The sequence below is a fragment of the Homo sapiens genome, chromosome X, assembly GCF_000001405.40.
Source record: "Homo sapiens chromosome X, GRCh38.p14 Primary Assembly".
In the NCBI taxonomy this organism is placed as follows: Eukaryota; Metazoa; Chordata; class Mammalia; order Primates; family Hominidae; genus Homo; species Homo sapiens.
Window position 1 is genome coordinate 92,437,236 of NC_000023.11, and position 25,307 is coordinate 92,462,542.

The 25,307-nt window shown below is 35.8% G+C and overlaps 1 protein-coding gene and 1 pseudogene across 13 annotated transcripts in view, besides 1 other annotated feature; both read left to right on the forward strand.

Moving 5' to 3' along the window:
- The window catches only part of PCDH11X (protocadherin 11 X-linked), an 843,856-nt gene that overhangs the window by 657,861 nt on the left and 160,688 nt on the right, over window positions 1–25,307 (forward strand). The gene's annotated exons all lie outside the window — the stretch shown is intronic.
- Window positions 22,376–23,774, forward strand: KRT18P11 (keratin 18 pseudogene 11; annotated as a pseudogene).
- Window positions 22,942–23,442: an enhancer, noted in NCBI's record as "H3K4me1 hESC enhancer chrX:91715176-91715676 (GRCh37/hg19 assembly coordinates)". NCBI's record gives its function as "activates a minimal SCP1, AML or CMV promoter by ChIP-STARR-seq in primed H9 embryonic stem cells {active_cell/tissue: H9 hESC(primed)}" and the evidence as "EXISTENCE:reporter gene assay evidence [ECO:0000049][PMID:30033119]".

Genomic DNA, 25,307 nt, shown 5'->3' on the forward strand with positions numbered 1-25,307 from the left:
CAGGAATTAGTTTAACCACTCAAAATAGGAAGTCAGGATTCTGTTTATAATTCTAACTAAAGATAACCAAATAATGATTTTAGTAAAATTTTATATCTTTTCTAGAGATGTTGGTAAAATTTTATAGTCTGAGCTTCAGTGGATCTCTACTAAGATAAGCAAGATATTTAAAATGTAATTTTGAAAAGTCAGATACTGATAATGAAGGATAAATTACCTTACTTAAATACATAATTGACCTTATAACAGAAAACCAAATATGACTATAATTTTTAAATTGTCCATATGTCCCCTTCCTTCTCTCTTTAAACTTAGCATCTGCTCATTAATTAATTTCACTCACTTCTATTAAGTGTATCATGTGCTCTGGCACTGTACTATTATTGCTTTTGAGTCTTAAGTAAGCAGAAGAAAAGCTTTCTTACATGGAATGGCCCACTGTTTTACATGGAAACAGAAGTCCTGCAACAGGTGCAGAACTTTTCCTAGGTGCTGTCTAGTATATATTTCTCCCTTAAGGTATTCTTGTAAGGGAAAAAGATAATTGATAATTAGTCTGAATGAACCCAAGGGTGGAAAAGGACCCTGCTTTAAGCCCTAATATGACTAAACCTTGCAGAGAAAATAATGAAAAAGATTTAAAAAATACAGCTATAGGTAACAAGACAGATGACAGCATGATTTAAGTGTATTGAAAACAATAAGGGACCTACTGCTAAGTAATGCACCTACTGCTAAGTAACGCATCGAAAATTGGGTGCTGCCAAAAATGGCCAGTTGTGTGCTTTGAACTTAATCTGATAGGTAGTAAGACATACATAAGCAAACACAATATTTTAGAGTCTATAGAAATTTGATGTTGTAAGTAAATTGAGAGTCGTATATTCCATCTTCAACTCAGTCAAGCACCCTTGCCTACACATTGTCCTTTCCTTAATTCTACTCTAATGACAAAAGTACCAGACAACACGTATCCTGAATGATGTCTTTTATTGTTTTAAAAATTGCATGTATATTGCATAAGCACGTATTTTAGTAAACATAAGACACACAATATGATTTTAAAAACTCCCTCGGTGCTGTTGCTTTCACTCAAAGCAGTTATTATTAAGGGAATTGATTATTTTGTTGAATTTAATTTAAAATGTTAATTATGTATCATTTATTGGGGTTGACAAAGTTCAGGATATTCTACTCCAAAATATGATACCTTGGCATACTGAATATTTTCAGCTGAAGTAATTTGAGAAAACAGCAGAAGCAGGAAGGTCAGTCTCAACTCCTCCCCACCTCTCCTTGTTACTTGAAGCATGCCATAAAACCTAGGAAGGATTTTCTGACTGTTCCCTGAAGCAGGTCATAAGACACTCAATAGAAAGGTGCCCTTCTTATACCCAGAGGAAAAGAACATTTTTATATCTGAAGATGAAGGGTCACAGAGAAGGAGTTGAACCAGCAGGTCTTGCTAAGTTTCCTTCAGTCACCATTAGATCTACCCCACTTTGTCCATTTATTTCTCCATAATTATTCACTCTTCATCAAACATAAGCATAAAAATACACAAGTTTACCTGTTTTTATGGGTCTTCATTTCCTTATTACAGTCCCCATGTCATATGAAAGTTGTACTGAACAGATTTGTATGCTTTTTTCTTGTTAGTCTTTTGCTATGGTGCCTAAGACATGAGATTAATATGGGTGAGAAAAAGATATTTCTCCTCCCCTCCACAGTAAACTTGATATACTTGGACTTACTTGGATGTATATGTCATGACACCAGAAGTAGACATGAATAGAATTTTTAATACTTTTGTATTAGAAAAATGCACAGGAGACATCTGGAATTTCAACAAATATCAGACTATGCATAAATATGTAACCCAGAATTCATTTGGGTTTCCTAGGTGTTATTGTCAATTAATGGCATTTATGTAATTAAACTGAGTTTATGAACTGTCATAAGAAAGAAGTAGTAAAGAAGTGTCTTTAGGGTCATACCTCTGAAGGTAAGAACACCAAGTGGGCTACAATAATAACAATTAATCTTATATATTATCCTAGCAATTACTTTGGATTGTGTTGATCTCTGTTATACTGAAATGGAAGCCAAAGCTTAAAAGGAAAACAAAATGTGACCTGAATTTGGAGGAATATGGACAGACCTTAGATGGAATCAGAGCCATAGGATCTTCCTCCATGTAATGAATGACCAAACCATGCGGCTATTCTGGATGGCTGTGGATCAAGTCAGCTTGCATATAGTACTAAAACCATTATAATTTTGAAAAATATATCTAGGAAAGTATGAAAAAGTGATTGAGTTTATAAATCAAAACTTGCTAAAAGATTTTTCTATGTATAAAGACATAAACTATTTAAATAATCACTGCTTGACTCATTTTAAACATTTTTATGAACTTCTTGAGAGTTCAGGTTTAGGTACACAAAGAGATATCAACTTCAACATTTCAGCTCTTTCTCTCCCCTCCTCCTCCATTCTTTTCCTCTCCCTTCCTTCCTACTATCCCTTCTTCTGCTTGCATCTACTTGTGCATTGGAGACAGTCTAAGCAAAATGATTCCCAACAAAACATTACACTTAAACAATCTTTGGAAGACTAAAGATTTTTTAAAAACAATAAACCACAAGATGTTATAAATTATGGGAAATTACATAGGAGAATGGAGTACAGTTACATTTCAGAGCCGTTTTTACTTGATAATTATACTTAATGACAATGTTTTGATAGCTAGTTTTTTAAAAAAACAATTTTATTCTCTTTTATTATGGAGTGTGAACATGTTTTTCCTCTTGGTATTCTCCAGTGTCAGCCTTGTTTTTAGTGCTGAATAATGTCAAAGATTAAATTTTCTTTTTAGAAACCATTTTTTTCCAATAATTTCTTCTAATTTACAAGATCTTGAATGGTTTTTTTAGAAGTTTTATTTTAGATTCAGGGAGTACATGTGCAGTATGTTACCTGGGTATATTGCATGATGTTTGGGGTACAAATGATCTCATCACCCAGGTCCTGAACATGGTACTGAATAGTTTTTCAACTTTTGCCTCCCTCCCTCCCTCCCCACTCTGGTAGTCCTCAGTGTCTGTTGTTGCCATATGTATGTTCATGAGTGCCCAATGTTTAGCTCTCACTTATAAGTAAGAACATGTGGTGATATTCTTTGGCTGTGTCTCCACACAAATCTCATCTCGAATACCCATGCATTGTGGGAGGACCTGGTGGGAGGTAATTGAATCATGGGGGCAGGACCTTCCCATGCTGTGCTCCTGATAGTGGGTAAGTCTCATGAGATCTGATGGTTTTAAAAAGAGGAGTTCCCCTGCACAAGCTCTCTCTGCCTGCTGCCATCCACGTAAGATGTGACTTGCCCCTCCTTGCCTTCTGCCACGATTGTGAGGCCTCTCCAGCCATGTGGAGCTGTTAAGTCCAGTAAGCTTCTTTCTTCTGTAAATTGCCCAGTCTCAGGTATGTCTTTATCAGCAGTGTGAAAACAGACTAATACAGTAAATTGGTACCAGTAGAGTGGGGTGCTGCTGAAAAGATACCCAAAAATGTGGAAGCAACTTTGGAACTGGGTGACAGGCAGAGGTTGGAACAATTTGGAGGGCTCAGAAGAAGACAGGAAAATGTGGGAAAGTTTGGAACTCCCTAGAGACTTGTTGAATGGCTTTGACTAAAATGCTGATAGTAATATGCACAATAAAGTCCAGGCTGAGGTGGTCTTAGATAGAGATAAGAAACTTGTTGGGAACTGGAGAAAAGTTGACTCTTGTTATCTTTTAGCAAAGAGACGGATGGCACTTTTCCCCTGCTCTAGGGATTTGTGGTACTTTGAACTTTAGAGAGATGACTTAGGGTATCTGGTGGAAGAAATTTCTAAGCAGCAAAGCATTCAGGATGTGACTTGGGTGCTGTTAAACACATTCAGTTTTATAAGGAAAGCAGAGCATAAGAGTTCTGAAAATTTGCAGTCTGACAATTTGATAGAAAAGAAATTCCCATTTTCTGAGGAGAAATTCAGCCAGCTGCAGAAATTTGCATAATTAACTAGGAGCCAAATGTTAATCACCAAGACAATGGGGAAAATATCTCCAGGGCACACCAGGAGGCTTTATGGCAGCCCCTCCTATCACAAGCCTGGAGGCCTATGAGGGAAAAATGGTTTCATGGGCCAGGCCCAGGGTTCCCATGCTGAGTGCTGCCTAGGGACTTGGTGCCCTGTGTCCCAGCTGCTCCAGTCATGGCTGAAAGGGGCCAAGGTAGAGTTTGGGCCATGGCTTCAGAGGGTGCAATCCCCAAGCCTTGGTAGCTTTCACTTGTTGTTGAGTCTGTGGGTGCACAGAAGTCAGTAAGTGAGGTTTGGAAACCTCTGCCTAGACTTCAGAAGATGTATGGAAATGCCTGGATGTCCAGGCAGAAGTTTGCTGCAGGAGCAGCACCCTCATGAAGAACCTCTGCTAAAGCAGTGTGGTAGGGAAATGTGGGGTCGGCACCCACACACAGAGTCCCTACTAGGGCACCATCTAGTGGAGCTGTGAGAAGAGGGTTACAGTCCTTCAGACCTTAGAATGGTAGATCCACTGACAGCTTTCACTGTGTGCCTGGAAAAGCCACAAACACTCAACACCAGCCCACGAAAGCAGTTGGGAGGGATGCTGTACCCTGCCAAGTCACAGGGGCAGAGCTTTCCAAGACTATGGGAACTACCTCTTGCATCAGTGTGACCTGGATGTGAGACATGGAGTCAAAGGATATCATTTTGGAGTCTTAAGATTTGACTGCCCTGCTGGATTATAGACTTGCATGGGGCCTGTAGCCTCTTTGTTTTGGCCAATGTCTCCCATTTGGAATGGCTGTATTTACTGAATGCCTGTTCCCCCATTGTATCTAGGAAGTAACGAACTTGCTTTTGATTTTACACACTCATAGGCAGAAGGGACTTGCGTTTTCATGGATGAGAATTTGGACTGTGGACTTTTGAGTTAAAACTTTGAGGGACTGTTGGGAAGGCTTGATTGTTTTTTAAATATGAGGACATGAGATTTGAGAGGGGCCAGGGGTGGAATGATATGGTTTGGCTGTGTCCACACCCAAATCTCATCTTGAATTTCCATGTGTTGTGGGGGAACTGGGTGGAAGGTAATTGAATCATGGGGGCAGGCTTTTCCCATGCTGCTCTCATGATAGTGAATAAGTACCACAAGATCTGATGGTTCTATAAGGGGGAGGTTCCTAGCACAAGCTATTCCTTTGCCTGCTGCCATCCACGTAAGATGTGATGTGCACCATGATTGTGAGGCTTCCCCAGCCATATGGAACCATAAGTCCATTAAATTTCTTTCTTTTGTAAGTTGCCCAGTTTTGAGTATGTCTTTATCAGCAGTGTGAAAATGGACTAATACATGTGTTATTTGGGTTTATGTACTTGTATTATTTTACTTAGGGTAATGGGCTCCAGTTGCATTCATTTCATAGCAAAGGACATAATTTCCTTTCTTTTATGGCTGTGTAGTATTCTACAGTGTATACATAACACACTTCCTTTATCCAGTTCATCATTGATGGGCACCTAGGTTGATTCCATGTCTTGTTATTGTGAATATTGCTGCAACGAACATGCTGTTGGCATGTGTCTTTTTGGTAGAAAAATTTATATTTCTTTGAGTATATACCCAGTAATGGGATTGCTGTGTCAAATGATAATTCCATTTTACATTCTTTGAGAAATCTCCAAGCTTCTTCACACAGTGGCTGAATTACTTTACATTCCCACCACCAGTGTATAAGCATTCCCTTTTCTCCATAGCCTCACCAGCATCTGTTGTTTTTTGTCTTTTTCATAATAGTTGCTCTGACTGTTGTGAGATAGAGATAGTATCTTATTGTGGTTTTGATTTGCATTTTTCTGATTAGTGATATGGAGCATTTTTTCCATACCACTGGTATGAGATGGTATCTCATTTTGGTTTTGATTTTCATTTTCTGATGATTAGTGATATGGAGCATTTGTTCATGTTTGTTGGCTACCTGTATGTCTTCTTAAGAGAAGTGTATGTTCATGTCCATTGTCTATTTTTAATGGGGTTGTTATTAGGTTTTTGCTTGTTGATTTGTTTGACTTTCTTATAGATTCTTGATATTAGTCCTCTGATAGATTCTTGATATTAGTCCTCTGTGAGATGCATAGTTTGCAAATATTTTCTCCTATGCTGGAGTTTTTGTTTTTCCTCTGCTGATAGTTTCTTTTGTTGTGCAGAAGATCTTTAGTTTAATCAGTTCCCACTTGTGAATTTTTGTTTTTGATGTAATCACTTTTGAGAATGCAGCCATAAATTATATCCCAAGGCCAATTTCCAGAATGGTGTTTTCTAGGTTTTCTTCTAGGATTCTTATAGTTAGAGGTTTTACATTTAAACCTTCAACTTATCTTGAGTTAATTTTTGTATGTGGTAAAAGGTATGGATCTACCATTATTCTTCTGCATGTGGCTAGCCAGCTATCTCAGCATCATTTATAACATAGGGAGTCCTTTCCCTATTGCTTAATTTTGTTGACTTTGTTGAAGATAAGATGGTTTCATGTAGGTGTGCAGCTTTATTTCTGGGTTCTCTATCCTGTTTCATTAGTCTACATGACTGTTTTTGTACTAGTATCATGCTATTTTTTTTATTGTAGCCTCATAGTGTAATTTAAAGTCAGATAATGTGATGCCTCCAGTATTTTTCTTTTAGCTTAACATAGCTTTTGCTATTCAGGCTCTTTTTTGTACCATATGAATTTTAGAATAGTTTTTTTTTCTAGTTCTGTAAAAAATGATGTTGGTACTTTGACAGAAATAGTGTTGAATCTGTAAATTGCTTTGGGCAGTATGGCCATATTAATGTATTAAGTCTTCCAATCCATGAGCATGAAACGTTTTTCCATGTGTTTTTGTCATCTCTGATTTCTTTGAGCAGTGTTTTGTAGTTCTCTTTGCAGAGATATTTCACCTTGGTTAGATGTGTTCCTAGGTATTTTATGTTTTTGGTGGTTATTGTAAATGAGATGACATTCTTGATTTGACCCTCAGCTTGAATGTTTTTTTGGGAAGGAGTGTAAAAATTTACTGATTTTTGCACATTGATTTTGTATCCTGAAACTTTACCATAGTTCTTTATCAGTTCCAGGAACTTTTTGACAGAGTCTTTAGGGTTTTCTAAATACAGAATTTTGTCAACCACAAACAGTGGTAGTTTGACTCTTTTCTTTTTTTCCTATTTGGTTGACTTTTGTTTCTTTCCCTTTCCTGATTGCTCTGGCTAGCTCTTCTGATACTATGTTGTATAACAGTGGTGATAGTAGGCATTCATGTCCTGTTGCAGTTCTCAAAGGGAGTGCTTCCAGCTTTTGTCCATTTAATATGATGTTGGCTGCATGTTTGTCATAGATGGCTCTTATTGTTTTAAGGTGTGTTCCTTTGATGCCTAGTCTGTTGGATTTTTTTTTTTTTTAATGATGAAGGGATGTTGAATTTAATCAAAAGCTTTTTCTGCATCTATTGAGAAAAATAGTTTATGACAATATGGTTTTTGTTTTTAATTGTGTTTATGTAGTAAATCACATTTATTGATTTGTGTATGTTGAATCAACCTTGCAGTCTCATGAATAATGCCTATTCAATCATGACAAGTTAACTTTTTGATGTGCTGTCAGATTCCATTTGTTAGTATTTTGTTGAGGATTTTCATGTCTGTGTTTATCAAGAATATTGGCCTACAGTTTCCTTTTCTTATTGTGTCTTTGTCAGGTTTTGTTTTCAGGGTGATGCTGGTATTTTAGAAAGAGCTGCAGAGGAGCTCTTTCTCCTTGATTTTTTGGAATAGTTTCAGTAGAATTGGGACCAGCTCTTCTTTGTACTTCTGGTAGAATTGAACTGTGAATCCATTTGGTCCAGGGCTTTTTTTTTTTTTTTTTTTTTTTTTGATTGGTAGGTTTTTTACTATTGATTCAATTTTGGAACTTGATGTTCCTCTCTTTAGGATTTCAACTTCTTCCTGATTCAATCTTGGAAGATTGTATGTTTCCAGGAATTTGTCAGTTTCCTCTAGATCATCTAGTTCATGTGCATAGAGTTGTTCTTAATAATCCCAGAGGATCACGTATATTTCTGTGAGGAGATCTTATATTTTAAAATACTACAACTTGCTTGAAAAAAAAAATGATATAAATACAAGTTAGTTCCAACATGGATTTTAAGAGTTCACATCAAGAATGCATCATAAATTATGAGGGGTTAAAAAACTAAAAGAATAGTTTTTCAGAAGAGACCAAGAAAACAATTAAGTTGGGAAAACTTAATGCATAAGAAAAGTTTAAAGGAATCAGGAGAAGTCTAAAACCGATTTTAAAACTGTTTTTAATATTGTAAGTACTTAATGAAACTAGGATATTTAAGATCAAGTGTACTTTATTTTCACTAGATATAGGAGAGAATGTTGAATTGAATTAAATTATAATTAAAAATTATGCTAGCTCTGAGGAATTGCTTCTTTCTAGTAAGATACACTGCTGAAAAAATATATATGGGATATCATAGAATATCCCTTGAATGTGATTAAGAGTAGAATTTTCAGCAGTGTCACAAATAACTAAAATTCAGATTTGGAATGAAAAAGCAAACTGGATTAGAAAATTATGCTTTTGTTCCTACTCTTTGATTCCATAATAATTCTGAAAGAACATGTTAGCAAATGCCTTCAACTTAAGTGAACTCCTTAATTTAACCTCATATTATTGGTTTTGTGTCATGTCTCAATATGTCACCAAAGCCAGCCCAGATTTTAAATTCTTATTATTACTTAATAACACCTACATTTTAATCTTAGAAATTCTTCTTCAAGGCATCACAAAGCAGAATTAAAAAAAAAAAAAAAAGAATACTTTCTGAGTATCAACCAATATTTTAAATGATTCTATATCATGTGCAGCCTCTTTCCTATGTAGTGTGCAAATAATGTACTTCTTTTTGGATTAAATGGACTCAGGAGTGAGCATGTACTATCTAGAATATTGTACAAAATTGCCTTGAATATGTTATATGCAATGATATGGTTTCACTGTGTCCCAACCCAAATCTCATCTTGAATTTAATGCCCATAATTCCCAAATGCTGTGGGAGGAGGAACCTGGTGGGAGGTGACTGAATTATGGGGCAGGCCTTTCCTGTGCTGTTCTTGTGATACTGAATGAGTCTCACAAGATCTGATGGCTTTAAAAACGGAAGTTTCCCTGCACAAGCTCTCTCTTTGCCTGCTGCCATCCCTATAAGATGTGACTTGCTCCTCCTTGCCTTCTACCATAATTGTGAGGCCTCCCCAGCCATGTGGAACTGTAAGTCCATTAAATCCTTTCCCGTATAAATTACCCAGTCTCAGATATGTCTTTATGAGCAGCATGAAAATGGATTGATACAGTAAATTGGTTCCAGGAGTAGGGTGCTGCTGAAAAGATACCCGAAAATGTGGAGGTGACTTTCGAGCTGGGTAACAAGCAGGGGTTGGAACAGTTGGAGGGCTCAGAAGAAGATAGGAAAATGTGGGAAAGTTTGGAACTCCCTAGAGACTTGTTGAATGGCTTTGCCCAAAATGCTGACAGCAATATGCACAATAAAGTCCAGGCTGAGGTGGTGTCAGATGGAAATGAGGAACTGGAGCAAAAGTGACCCTTGTTATGTTTTAACAAAGAGACTGGTAGCATTTTGCCCCTTCTCTAAAGATTTGTGGAATTTTGAACTTGAGAGAGATGATTTAAGGTATCTAGCAGAAGAAATTTCTAAGTGGCAAAGCATTCAAGAGGTGACTTGGGTGCTGTTAAAGGCACTCAGTTTTGTAAGGAAAACAGATATAAAAGTACAGAAATTTTGCAGCCTGACAATTTGATAGAAAAGAATTTACTATTTTTTGAGGAGAAATGAAAGCCAATTGTAGAAATTTGCATAACTAATTAGAAGCTGAATGTTAATCACCAAGACAGTGGGGAAAATGTCACCAGGGCATGTGAGAGGTCTTCGTGGAAGCCCCTCCCATCACAAGCCCAGAGGTCTAGGATTTAAAAATGGCTTTGTGGGCCAGGCTCAGGTCCCTGTGCTGTGTGCAGTCTAGGGAACTGGTAACTGCATCCCAGCCACTCCAGCCACAAATAAATGGGGCCAAGGTACAGCTCGAGTCATGGCTTCAAAGGGTGCAAGCTCCAAGCCTTGGCAGCTTCCATGTGATGTTGGGCCTGTGGGTGCATGGAAGTCAAGAAATGAGGTTTGGGAACCTCTGCCTAGGTTTCAGGGGATTTGTGGAAACACCTGGATGTCTAGCAGAAGTTTGCTGCAGGGGCAGGGCCCTCATGGAGAACCTCTGCTAGGGCAATGTGGAAGGGAAATGTGAGGTCGGAGCCTGCACACAGAATCCCTACTGGGGCACCACCTAGTGGAGCTGTGAAAAGAGGGCCACTGTCCCTCAGACCCCAGAATGGTAGATCCACTGACAGCTTGCACTGCGTGCCTGGAAAATCCACAGACACTAAACAACAGCCTATGAAAGCAGCTGGGAGGGAGGGTGTACCCTGCCAAGCCACAGAGGTGGAGCTGCTGAAGATCATGGGAACCCACTTCTTGCATCAGCATGACCCGGAAGTGAGACATGGAGTCAAAGGAGATCATTTTGGGGCTTTAAGATTTCACTGCCCTGCTGAGTTTTGGACCTCCATGGGGCCTGTAGTCTCTTTGTTTTGCCAATCTCTGCCATTTGAAATGGTTGTATTTACCCAATGACTGTACTCCCATTGTATCTAGGAAGTAACTAATTTGCCTTTGATTTTACAGGCTGATAGGCAAATGGGGCTTGCCTTGTCTCAGATGAGATGTTGGACTGTGGACTTTTGAGTTAATGCTGAAATGAGTTAAGACTTTGGGAGACTGTTGGGAAGGTATGACTGTTTTTGAAATGTTAAGACGTGAGATTTGGGATGCACCAGGGGCGGAATGATATGGTTTGGCTGTGTCTCCACCCAAATCTCATCTTTAATTGTAACTCCCACAATTCCCATATGTTGTGGGGGGAACCCAGTGGGAAGTGACTGAATTATGGGGGTGGGTCTTTCCTGCACTGTTCTCTTGGTACTGAATGAGTCTCACAAGATCTGATGGTTTTAAAAATGGGATTGTCCCTGAACAAGCTCTTTCTTTGCCTGCTGCCATCCATGTAAGATGTGACTTGCTCGTCCTTGCTTTATGCCATGAGTGTGAGCCCCCTCCACCCCCTGCCATGTAGAACTGTATGTTCATTAAACCCTTTTCCTGTATAAATTACCCAGTCTCAGGTATGTCGTTATTAGCAGTGTGAAAATGGACTAACACACGAAATTTCCTCTATCTTTTAAAATGATAACTAAAGAGACTGAGCATATACGCCACCAAGAATATGTGTGTGTGGTGGAGAAAGGGTACTTAATTAGCTTAATTAACTCTTTACAATTCGAGAATTTTGGGGAGTCCAAGTTTTGGCTAAGTAGTATATGTGGTTTCGATAGTTTTCAGTAACTTCTTATAGCCGAAATTTTATTGTTTGCTAGCTGGCAAAAGCATTATGTTTAAAAATATACAGCAACAGATTTTCATATTTTTTCATATCTTTTTAGAATGACTCACATAAGTAGCTCTGTTCTTTTGCAGATTACTTTAGTGTTCCTCGGATAGGCATCACTTAAATGTGCAGTAGCAGATAGGACTTTTCTAAAGTCCTCTTATAATGTAATATGTCATTACTTCGATTTACCAAGCTTAACAAGTGTTTGACACCCTTCAGCTACTAAATTGATTCAGAAAAGATAGATCAGCATAGGCATGCTCTGATTTTTTTGCTCATTCTTGATGGATTACAATTATTAACCTACAGGTGGAGTCTAGATCTTTATTTTTAGAGAAAAATCTCAACAAATAGTCAACTGAATAGAATCAGGGCAACATAGCTATTTGAGAACTACACAACTTTCAAATTAACTTCTTGTATAGCAGCTTCAATCTTCTGTATTAGAAATTGTAATAAACTATTAAACTGAATATTTTTTATTTGTCACCACACTATTCCCAGATGGTTGATCATTCTCATGAACAGTGGAAGACCAAGAAACATCAAGCAACAGAAACTGAATTTCTGGTCAACCTATTAATTCAAAATTTAGTCCCTGATATGAGAGTGTAAAAATTCTTTTAAAGTTAAAGTGAACATTTATAATAATATACACAAATACCCCATTTTAAAGATGTGGAAATTGAGGCTGGAGAAGGATAGATTATTTGCACAAATTTCACAAAAAAATAATGATAGAGCATGGGTTAAAACACACAGTATCGTGATTATATTTGAATCATACATGAGAGCTCAAATTACATTGCGCTTTGCCCATTCTGCCAGAAAATATTCTGGAGGTCATTATCATGCAGTAGTTAAGCCCACAAAAAGCTCTAGAGTCAGCAACTCTTTGTTAGACTCTCAGCTCTGTCACCTACCTTTCTATCTCAACTTCAGTTTCCCCATTGATTTAACAGGAATGAAAATAGTATTTATGTCAGAGAGTTGTTGAAATGATAAAATGCATACAAAAAGAGACCCCCTGGCACATGGTAGGTGTAACAGATACTAATGTATCATAGTGTTTCTCTTAAAATTTTGGAACAGTATAATTGTATAATTTAAAAAATCAATATTGCATATATTGAATAAATAATAACTTTATTATAGAGTTCATGAAATGGTAAAGATAAAGTCAATTACATTGTATCCATCTCAGATCATTGGGAAAATTTTCCTCACACAAATATACACTCAAGAAATACACACCAAGAATACAACCTCAGATATCAGATATTAGAGCTAAATTTTATTCACAATGCTAGGCTAAGAAATCTTTGGTTAGAAGGTTATAGAACATCAAGATTTTATTGGTAAGCACATAACCCCATTTAATTCCAGTAGACGCTCTTTTAACAGTCACAGTCAGAATCAGAGGTAAGATGGTTCATCAAAGCAATCAGATGAACAGGTAAATCATTAAGAAATGCATACATATCTCATATATGTTACATATATATGATAAATAAATACTTGAAACAAAGAAGTGTACATTTATCTTTCATAATTTGATGTAGAATCTTTGCCTTGCCTTTGGATGTATGTTCACTGATTTTAGCACAATGCACCATATTTATTACATACACTCTACCAATATTACATAATATGTAGTGTCCGGTTTTTGTTCCCATAAAATGGAGTGTGTTTTTAAGTGCTCTTGAAAAGTGTTCTGAGTATGGAATGCTTCTAGAGTTTTATGATACTTTTTCTGAATCTTCTGTAGTTCTCTTGCTCAGACAGTACTCTATGACAAGTCATTGCAGCATTTTGCCCTTTGTAATCTTTCTGAAAAGTTCAATTTCATCTTCTTTGAAGCAATTATTTTTATATTAACATTTCATTGGGTTATATGAGATTTTAATTAAATTAAATGGTTGCAATAGCAAATGCAGCTCATGTAAATGTATTTTAAAACAATATCTGACTTTTCTTAAGCATAAACTCGCTTTGGCTCAGAAGTGAGTGGGTATACTGTAAAGTGGCATCCTAGCTGAGGTGAGGACATAAAGCTTGTTGACTTCATCAAGTCAATGTTTTATTCACTGTGAGAATAATGAGCTTTATTTAATCGAATGAGTTGGTTAAGTAGAGGCCTGTCAAAAAAGTTTCCAATTTATTAATATTGATGCATTTGCTATATCAGAGTAGGACATCCAATTGTGGAAGATTTCACAACTTACCATTGTATTTACAAATCTAAACTTAATTTTTGATCATTCTAATATCTCAAGAAGTTTGTTTGCAGTTTGCCCATACCTTCACAGTAACCCGACTGCTACACGACAGCAACCCTAGCCTTTAATCAAAAGTATGAATTTTTGAATGAAACAAGTACATTTGCATAATTTTTTTAAATAGTTAAAATCAGTGTACCTCAAACTTTCATGTGCAGATCCATCATATAACATATAAATCTTATGTATGTTTTACCAAAATTAAAAAGGCAAAAAAGAAATATTAATGCTATGTCCTACTAATATCATTATTTTCCCTGGGAGTGTAGCCTGGAAATAATATTTTTGTAAAATTATCTATTTGATCTATGTGTATGCAAATTTTAAAAACCACTGATTTAAATGGAAAACCTTAAAATGTGTTTCAATCATTCACCACTTGAGTTCCAGTGAGAACAAAAGTAAAGTTTTATCTTTGAGTCTACCGATTATTTCCGTTACAGGGTAAGAAAATGTGTTTGCTAAGTAGGCATATTCTCAAGACTTTGTTAGGCTGAATGTAACATAAAAAAGACTTCATGATAAGAAAAGCAATGAAACCTGATTAATACAGATTGACTTAGCGAGGAGCCACAAACTTCTGGCATTCTAATTTGTTTGTAGTTGACTGCTTAACAGTATTCGATGATCAGAGAATACTTTAGTAGACAGACAGAAATGAAAATTTTCCTTTAATTACGTCAAATTCTCCCTAGACTAAATTCTGTGTTTTGTTTAACAATCAAAATGTAGGAAACAGGAGGGTGACTGGTAATGATTCAAATGGGTATTAAAGTTTCATCTACTATACATCATCATATATTTATTAATCTGAGGTTATTCATGGAACTGATATGAAAACTGAAGGACTGTGAAGTTATATTTTAGTTCACATAAATGTGTGAATTCTATTGTATATTAATATTATCTGTATTTGGATATGGATAGACAAATTATGTCGATAGAGAGAGAGATGTACCCATATTATATCCAGACTAAATGCCTTCTGAGAATATTTATTCATGTAGAAATTCATTTATCAAAACCAAATATTTATCAAAAGAAAGAATATATTCATCCGAACCATACGATTTTGATTCAAATATTAACAGCTTTATAAACTCAAGCAAGTAATTACTCATTTCTGAGCTCACTAACATCTACAGCAAAAACTTTCTATAAGAATGAAAATAATTTTGAACTCTCTGTAAGAAAGATGAGCCCATCCTGATAGCATAAGTATTAAAATGATATTTGAGCACTGTACTGCAAAGCTGCTAAAAACAGAAAAATTACATATATAGTAGTTTGTATAATATAGATGTGTGTGTGTGTATATATATATATATATATATATATATATATATATGTTTTTTTTTTTTTTTTTGAGATGGAGTCTTGCTCTGTCACCAGGCTGGAGTGCAGTGGCATGATCTCTGCTCACTGCAACCTCCACCTCCTGGGTTCAAGCAATTCACCTGTCTCAGCCTCCCAAGTAGCTGGGACTACAGGCATGCCCCACCACACCCAGCTAATTTTTTTGTATTTTAGTAGAGACGGGGTTTCACCATGTTGGCCAGGATGGTCTCAATCTCCTGACCTCATGATCTGCCTGCCTCGGCCTCCCAAAGTGCTGGGACTACAGGCGTGAGCCACCACCCCCAGCAAGTTTATATATTATATAATATTAAATATGATCTAATATAGCACTTGGAGTATTTGGGTCTTTCTTCTTTTACTTCTGTATTATTGTTTTTGTTATTTTATTCTGCCCCTCTTTGTCTTCCTTATTTTACCCGCATATTTTAGTTTTTGTTATTTTCTCCTACCCCTCTTTTACAAGTTACCTTGCATTCTTAGTGAATGACTTATGTGGAATTATAATTATGTTGCCTTTTTATGGATATGTCAATATTTATAACAGTGTTTGAAGTAGACAAATACTTCTCCACTTCTCTTAAATCTGTCTTATAAATGTAACCGGTAATGACACAATCTATGCAGTATTAAATATTAATTTGGGATTATATATTAATGATAGAGAACAAATGAATTCCTTTATTGCTAAGTCAATGCAAACTAGTGAAGTGGCTTATTTTGGTGAATTACACTATGATAAACATTTTTTTGGACCACCATATCACATATCACACAGGACAACCATATAGAAACTCATAGCAAATATTGTAGTCATGAGTATCTGTTCTAAATTTCATCCGAATTAATGTTATTTTATGAAACTATAGGAAGATGAATTCCTGTATACTGACTTTACAAACTACATTAAGTCTGTGAAGTTGCATACCAAGTAAGCAATGTAATGGTAGAGATGTGAAAATTCTGTCAGTTGTCTTTCTAATCAGTAGTCAAATTTTGACACAAGAAATGCTATCAAATTCAAAAGGCATATTCATGGAATCCTCTCCAACTATTTAGTTAACAGAATGAGATTATGGGTTTTTTTCTTTTTATGGTACGACATACAGTGCTGTGTTTTACTTTTCTCTATTGTCTACTAAATTATTTTTCAATAATTTTTTCTGCTGAGACAGTGTATGATCTACATGTCTTTTGAAAACCAAAGAAGGTATTTCTTTGATTTGAAATAGCGTTTAAAATACCTACATTCTTAAAAGTCAGAGCTTGTAAAGTGATTGCAGGTATTTGCGAATCAGGTGAAATTTGTGTGGTCTTTTGACTCTTGCTATATTAATAATATTTTCAATGAAAACTGTACCTACTTGCTTTGTGTGCGTATAAATTGAATATATTGTAAAATTTAAAATAACAGTAATAGTTCCGGTGGGCTGATGTTCCATAATCTGTATCTGTACTTGTATAAAGATAATTAGTTTGAATCAATCACTTATAGAAAAATGTCACCTCACCTGCCCATTTTAAAAAGTGGCTCACAGAAGTGAAATTAGTTACACAGCATACTAATTACAGAATGAAAAGACTGCTCAAAAATGCTAAATACAGGCCTGTAAATTAGCATATCTTCATACAGATATAAATTAAACATATAATAAAATTATATGTATTATAATTATATATAATTATATGTGTAGTGTATATATACATATTTATATATAATCAGTATATATAGATATTATATATCTATATGTAAAATATATGTGTATCTAAATATGTGTCTATCTAAATACATATATATACACAAACATATAAAATAAGTGCTAAGTCGGGTCTGGGACAATGTCATTTATTCAGCACAGTGTTCTTGGTACATAGCAAGACCTGAAACATACTAAATAATCAATAATATGTTTGGTTCAACGAGTGTCAGAAATGCTCTATTTTGGTGGTGTTTTAGATTTGGAAATTCTACACAAACAGGCATAGTTAGCAAAAATATTTTTTCTTTTTTTAAGTTTAAAAGATATGAACAGTACAGTACAGTGTTCCAGAAATTCTTATTGGTGAAGAATTCATGGCTTGGAAAACTAAGTTGATGATGCAGAAGAATGTTCATTATGAAAGAAATGGGTTATAAAGAAGTCTGAGAAAAAGACTATTTAGGAAATTTGTCTTAAAAGGGTGAGAAATGGATTAGATATGGGCATGAATGAAATACAATTTTTTCTTTCATTCTTAGGTTTGGCTTTGTTCCTTTTCACTGAGCTGGAATGAGTATCACAGGGTAATTGTGACATATTGACCCTTAAACTTTCAACATGTTTTCATTAATTCAACAAATATTATTTAAGGTGGCATCATACCCGACACAATTTTAGCTTATCCTTTATGTAAACCTTATGTAAACTAAATATACATTAATCTTGCACAAAAATTTTGAGAAAATATTTTGAGGAAATGTGTTAATGCATTATTTGCTTCTGCATGTATCTTTTTCCCTAGAATATGACTGGGTTTTGATTATATATTGCCAGAAAATAGTTTCACCTATGTAAAGGATTTGTTCTTAGTGACTTTTGTTGTCAGGAAGTTTTGCATTTGTGTTAACACTTGTGTGTTTTGTGGCATCATGTTTTTATTAGTATCAGTGCTACATTCTGTGATACCTTTATGACTCCTAAATCTTTGATTTAGATTATATAGTTCATTGCTAATCATGTCTTCTTCTCAATGTATCTCATTTAAATTATTTTAGCTAAAGGGCCAAGTGATAGCTGGGAACATTATGTGCCCATTCCTGATGGTGCCCATTTTTCAAAAGGAAGGGATTTTGAGAAAGGTCCTCAGAATTCAGTAATACTGGTATATAGTGTAATGTTGAAAGAATGTAATGATGCACTAACTTTGGCTTATTTATTTATTTTTAGAGACAGGGTCTCACTCTGTCTCCCAGGCTGAAGTGCAGTGGTGTGATCATGGCTCACTTTAGCCTGGAGCTCCTTGCCTCAAGCCATACTCCTGCCTTAGCCATCCAAAGCCTTGGAATTATAGGCATGAGCCACCACACATGACCTCCTTTTCAAGTTATTCCATTAATTATTTATAGGAAATAACAACAGTTTAATGAAAATTTAAAAAAAGAATTAGGAAGTTTATCCATATCTAATTCAAAATCACATGACAAATTCTTATTTAACTTAGTCAACCTATGGGGATAATTTGTATTCTTAAAAAAATCTCTTCTAGTAGGAAAAAATATAATTTCAAAATCTTACTTAAACCAAATGTATTTGTTATTCAAGATATGAGTACATTTCTCTCTGTCTTGACACTTGAAATTCTCGTATAAGATTTCAAATTATAGGGGAAAAATCAGAAGAATTGATTGTTGTATTTTAGGAAACTCACATTGTGTTTTGGGAATTTTGGCAAATTATAAAAAATACCCTTTAATTTCCATGAGCAAAAGTACATGCTGACTTGAAGTTAATTCTACTTTTTAAAAGTAAAATCATTTCGGAAAGTTTTTCAGTGAGTTATGTCCATGCAAAATAAGTGAACACTGGTAATTCTTTGTACAACAGAGTACAAAAATTGAAAGAGAATAGGAAAATATTGCTTCTTAGGGATCGGGGATATATATTTTTCATCATGGGACATGATATTTCATCTGAGCACAATGTGCATTCGAGGAATGGATAGGACTGGCTTATAGTTTAAATAAATATCTTAGCTAGTCATGGTTATATTCTCTTAGACTAAATTTCAGTCAAATTCTTAGCAATATTAATATGCGTATTTGAACTAATTTCTGTGTGAATTCTACAAACTGTGTAGCAGAAACATCATTTTATGTTTAAAGAAACAAAGTAAAGGGAGAGATTAATAGGAACTCAGACAAATGCAGAATCAAATTTATAGTGTATTAAAGATTTATATCTCCTTCCTTGTTATATAAGAACTAAAACTTAGGCAACATTTTATCTCTTAGCGGTATACTCTCCTTTTACAAATACCAAAATATAATATTTATATTTTGAGTATCCAAAGAGCCATTACCTTAAATCTGTATCTTCTAATCATGAAGTGCAGATGATTTTTAAGGCAGACAGCATTTGGTTTATTCAAAAAACCTTTTAACATGTCTTTTGCAGTGAGTTAATCTGTCAGACTGATAAAATAAGTTCCTCATACTCCCCCTCCTCTTCCTGCGCATATAAGCTTTTATTTAATTCTGTTTGAAATAGCTTGCTTGTATTTTCGCTTCCTCTTCATGTTTGTGGCACTGCTTTTTATGCTTTGTTCTTTGCTGACATAAAATATTTATCAACATATCATCTAAGAAGATTGGTTCTCCACAGTAGATATCCAATATGTTTCACCACATGGAAAATGTCTTTTCTTGTTTATTCCTAAAATCTGTAGCCAAATTCCCATATGTCTGGTTTATCCATTGATACTTGAAAATGTAAAACTAAGTAATTCTGTGGATAACAATTATGCATGAACATTGCCATTAAACAGTAAATTTTAAAATAATTTATATTTAAACTAAAATAATAATCATATATCTTTCAATATCAAGCAAACGGATTTGATTTTATTCCATTCCTTTGTTATAATGGAAAACAAATTTTCTAATACATTTATTTTTCATTTTTTCTTTGATATGATTTCCCTAATAGTTAAAACAATAGCATTATTCAGAGACTGTATTTTTAGATGTGGCCTATGATTTCAAGGATCCCTCCTTTCCCCATGTGTTACAATACAACATATAAATAACCAGTTGGTTCCAAGACTAAAAATTTCTGCCAAAGCTTGTGTTCATACAGTTACAAAGTCCCAATAAGATATATATTAGAGAGAAAAAATATAAATATAGAAAATAAATCAAAGTCTCCAATTCTTTGAAAATGCCAGCATGGTACTACTGTTAAGCTGTCAGTAATTCACTGTGATTACAAGAAATCACAACTTCAGTCCATGCTAATATCACATGTGAGATTATGAAAACATATTTATAAAGAGAATTATCAAGTCAGCTTGCACTTCCAAAACCATACTTTCGTTTCAATTATTTCATCTCCTTAAATATTTTATATGTAAATATTAAGATCTATATAATAAAATAATCAATTTATTTGGAGTTTTATAAGTTGTCCATCCAGATGCATCTCTCTAAACTGATGTATTAGGAGGAAAAATACTGTCAATGAATAAACATCACTATCTTTCTCATTTTGTAGCACATTTTAAAGTGAAAGTAATAGAACATTACTTTGGGGGAACAATGCAATATTTATGATAGTGAACATTATTGAAATAAGTTCAAATTTTTCTTTATGGATTTTAAAAAACATGCTTTCATATACAAAAACATGTAAACATCTGCCTAAAATAAAGTTGAAATAGATATTTTTGAAATGGTAATTATATGACCTATTTCTTATTCCAGTTTTCTGTTACATATGCTATATGTAATAGAAAATGTAAATAATATAGTATTAATATAAGTATAGACATGCGTATAATATATGATCAATATAAGTACTTCTCAAATGAAATCTCTGTTTCCAAACTATGTCCTAAGTTGTGTGCAGAGCTTAATATGTTTAGCAAGGCATACGAACATACAGAAAGAGAAAATATGCTATAGAACTTACAAAACTGACATTCACTAATAAAATAAGACTTTCAAGTGCTTATTTTTATTTGTTATTTTTAACTTTATTATGGGTATATAATAGTTGTATATTTTTATGAGGTATGTGTAATGTTTTGATACAGACATATAATGTATAATGATCAAGTCAGGGTAATTAGAGAACACATCATCTCAAGCCTTTATCATTTTTTTGTTTTAGGAACATTCCAATTCCACTCTTTTAGTTATTTAAAAATAAACAACAAAATACTGTTAACTAGAGTCACCCTATTGTGCCACCAAATACTAGATCTTATGCATTCTATCTAACTCTATGTTTGTACACATTAACTATCTTCACTTTATCCTTCTGTCTCCTCTATGCTTTCCAGCCTTTGGCAATCATCATTTCACTCTCAACCTCCATTGAGTTCAAATTTTTTTTTAGCTGCCATATATGATTGAAAACATGTAACATTTGTCTTTCTGTGTCTGACTTAATTCACTTAACATAATATCCTTCAGCTCCATACATGTTGTTGCAAATGACAGAATTTCATTTTCTTTATGGCTGAATGATAACCCATTCTGAATATGCAGCACATTTTCTTTATCCATTCATCCATTGGACACTTAGATTGCTTTCATTTCTTGGCTATTGTGAATAGTGCTGCAAAATAAACACGGGAGTGCAGATATCTCTTTGATATACTGATTTTCTTTCATTTGGATTTAAACCCAACAGTGGAATTGCTGGATCATATGGTGGGTCTAATTTTAGTTTTTTGAGGAACCTCTATACTGTTCTCCATAGTGGTTGTACTAATTTACATTTTCATCAAAAGCGTAGGAGCGTTCCCTTTTATCCCTACCCTTGCCAGAATTTGTGATTGCCTCTCTTTTGGATAAAAGCCATTTTAACTGGGGCGAGATGATTTCTCATTGTAGTTTTGATTGGCATCTCTCGAAAAACTGGGTATAGAATGAACATATATCAACACAATAAAAGTCACATTTGTTAAGCCCACAGCTAGTATCATACCAAACAAGGAAAGTCTGTAACTCTTTCCTCTAAGATCAAGAACAATAAAAGCATGTGCACTTTTACCACTTTTATTCAACATAGTTCTCTACTTAGATAAGAGAAGGAAATAAAGGGCATTCAAATTGAAAAAGAAGAAGTCAAATTATTCTTGTTTGTAGACAACGTAATCTTATATTTAAAAAAACCTTAAAGTCCTCACCAAAAAACTATTGGAACTGATAAACAAATTGGAATTAGTAAAGTTGCAGGATACAAATCCAACATACATAGAAAAACATTAGTAGCATTTCTATATGCCAACAGCAAATAAGTTGCAAAAGAAACCAAAAAAGAAACACCATTTACAATAGCTAAAAATAAAACAAAGTATCCAGGAGTAAATAACCAAAAACTTGAAAGATTTCTACAATGGGCCACCATCGTCGGCAAAGCCTGAGTCCTGTCCTATCTCTCTCCTCCCCGGACAGCATGAGCTTCACCACTCGGTCCACCTTCTCCACCAACTACCAGTCACTGGGCTCTGTCCAGGCGCCCAGCTACGGCGCCCGGCCGGTCAGCAGCGCGGCCAGCGTCTATGCAGGCGCCGGGGGCTCTGGTTCCCGGATCTCCGTGTCCCGCTCCACCAGCTTCCGGGGTGGCATGGGGCCTGGGGGCCTGGCCGCGGGGATGGCTGGGGGTCTGGCAGGAATGGGAGGCATCCAGAACAAGAAGACCATGCAAAGCCTGAACGACCGCCTGGCCTCTTACCTGGACAGAGTGAGGAGCCTGGAGACTGAGAACCGTAGGCTGGAGAGCAAAATCCGGGAGCACTTGGAGAATAAGGGACCCCAGGTCAAAGACTGGAGCCATTACTGCAAGACCATCGAGGACCTGAGGGCTCAGATCTTCGCAAATACTGTGGACAATGCCTGCATCGTTCTGCATATTGACAATGCCCGTCTTGCTGCTGATGACTTTAGAGTCAAGTATGAGACACAGCTGGCGATGCGCCAGTCTGTGGAGAACGACATCCATGGGCTCCGCAAGGTCATTGATGACACCAATGTCACTTGACTGCAGCTGGAGACAGAGATTGAGGCTCTCAGGGAGGAGCTGCTCTTCATGAAGAACCACGAAGAGGAAGTAAAAGGCCTACAAGCCCAGATTGCCAGCTTTAGGTTGACCGTGGAGGTAGATGCCCCCAAATCTCAGGACCTCGCCAAGATCATGGCAGACATCCGGGCCCAATATGACGACCTGGCTGGGAAGAACCGAGAGGAGCTAGACAAATACTGGCCTCAGCAGTTTGAGGAGAACACCACAGTGGTCACCACAGTCCGCCGAGGTTGGAGCTGCTGAGATGACGCTCACAGAGCTGAGACGTACAGTCCAGTCCTTGGAGATCGACCTGGACTCCATGAGAAATCTGAAGGCCAGCTTGGAGAACAACCCGAGGGAGGTGGAGGCCCGCTACTCCCTACAGATGGTGCAGCTCATCGGGATCCTGCTGCACCTGGAGTCAGAGCTGGCACAGACCCGGGCAGAGAGACAGTGCCAGGCCCAGGAGTAATGAGGCCCTGCTGAACATCAAGGTCAAGCTGGAGGCTGAGATCGCCACCTACCGCCGCCTGCTGGAAGATGGCGAGGACTTCACTCTTGGTGATGCCTTGGACAGCAGGAACTCCATGCAAACCATCCAAAAGACCACCACCCGCCGGAAAGTGGATGGCAAAGTGGTGTCTGAGACCAACAACACCAAAGTTCTGAGGCATTAAGCCAGCAGAAGCAGGGTACCCTTTGGGGAGCAGGAGGCCAATAAAAAGTACAGAGTTAAAAAAAAAAAAGATTTAAACAATGAAAACTATAAAACATTGATGAAAGAAATTGAGGCAGATACAAAAAAATTGAAAGACATTTCATATTCATAGATTTGAAAAATCTATATTGTTACAAAGTCCATACTACCCAAAGCCATCTACAATTCCTATCAAAACACCGATGACATTCTTCAGAGAAATGGAAAAAATAATCCTAAAATTTATATGGAACCACAAAAGACCCAGAATAACCAAAGCTATGCTAAGCAAAAATAACTACACTGGGGGAATCATAGTACCTGACTTCAAATTATACTACAGAGCCATAGTAACCAAAACAGCATGGTACTGGCATAAAAATAGACACATATACCAGGGGAACAGAATAGAGAACCCACAAACAAATTCACATACCTACAGTGAACTCATTTTTGACAAAGGCGCCAGGAATATAAACTGAGGAAAAGAGAGTCTCTTCATTAAATGGTTCTGGGAAAACTGGATATCCATATGCAGAAGAATTAAACTTGACCCGTATCTCTTGCTATATACAAAAATCAAATCCAAGTGGATTAAACACTTAAATCTAAGACCTTAAACTATGAAACTACTACAAGAAAACATTGGAGAAACTATCCAGGACATTGGTCTTGGCAAAGACTTATTGACCAATGCCCCAGAGGCACAAGCAATCAAACCAAAAAATGGACAAATGGGATCACAGCAAGTTAAAAAGTTTCTGCACAGCAAAGGAAACAATCAACAAAGTGATGAGACAACCCACAGAAGGGGGGGAAATATTTGTAAACTACTCATCTGGCAAGGAATTAATAACCAGAATATATGAGGAGCTCAAACAACTCAATAGGAAAAAAGGTGATTAATAAATAGACAAGAGATTGTAATAGACATTTCTCAAAATAATATATACAAATGGCCTACCTTCAAGTGTTTAAGTAAAAGTTGTTTCCTGATATCATGTCCATTTACTTATGCAATATAGAGACTTTAATTACCTACTGTTTTCTTTATAGTACAGCAAATTTTTAAATTAGTTTGTAATAGAGCAAACAGGTTGGTGAAAATGTGAAGAAAAAGTTTTGAAATTTTTTATTCTAAAAAACTTCAATTATATTCTCTCTCTAGATATGATTGAGTTTTATCCCTGTTTTATTTCTATGTGCACAACTCAAAAAGGTTTGTTGACAAACCAGTCAAAGCTTCGAAATTGGGTAAATTGCTTAGAAGAAACTTATTTTCAATTTCACAAGGAAGGAATTTTAAAACTTAAGTCTTTTAGCAATGTACAGATTGTACATTATTACCTTGGAGGCATGTATTTTGTCTGCATTAAAATCATGCAAAGGAACACGCTTTACAAATCAATTTCACTGTGGACCTAAAGACCAGATACACCACCAAGTCCCATTTAAAAATGGCCTTAATTTAGAATTCACCCTCTCAAGAACAGATTGAGTATTAAAAGGTATGAAATGTTTGAGAGCTAAAATTGTTTCAAACATTTTGGATAGCTTAAAGGCATACTTT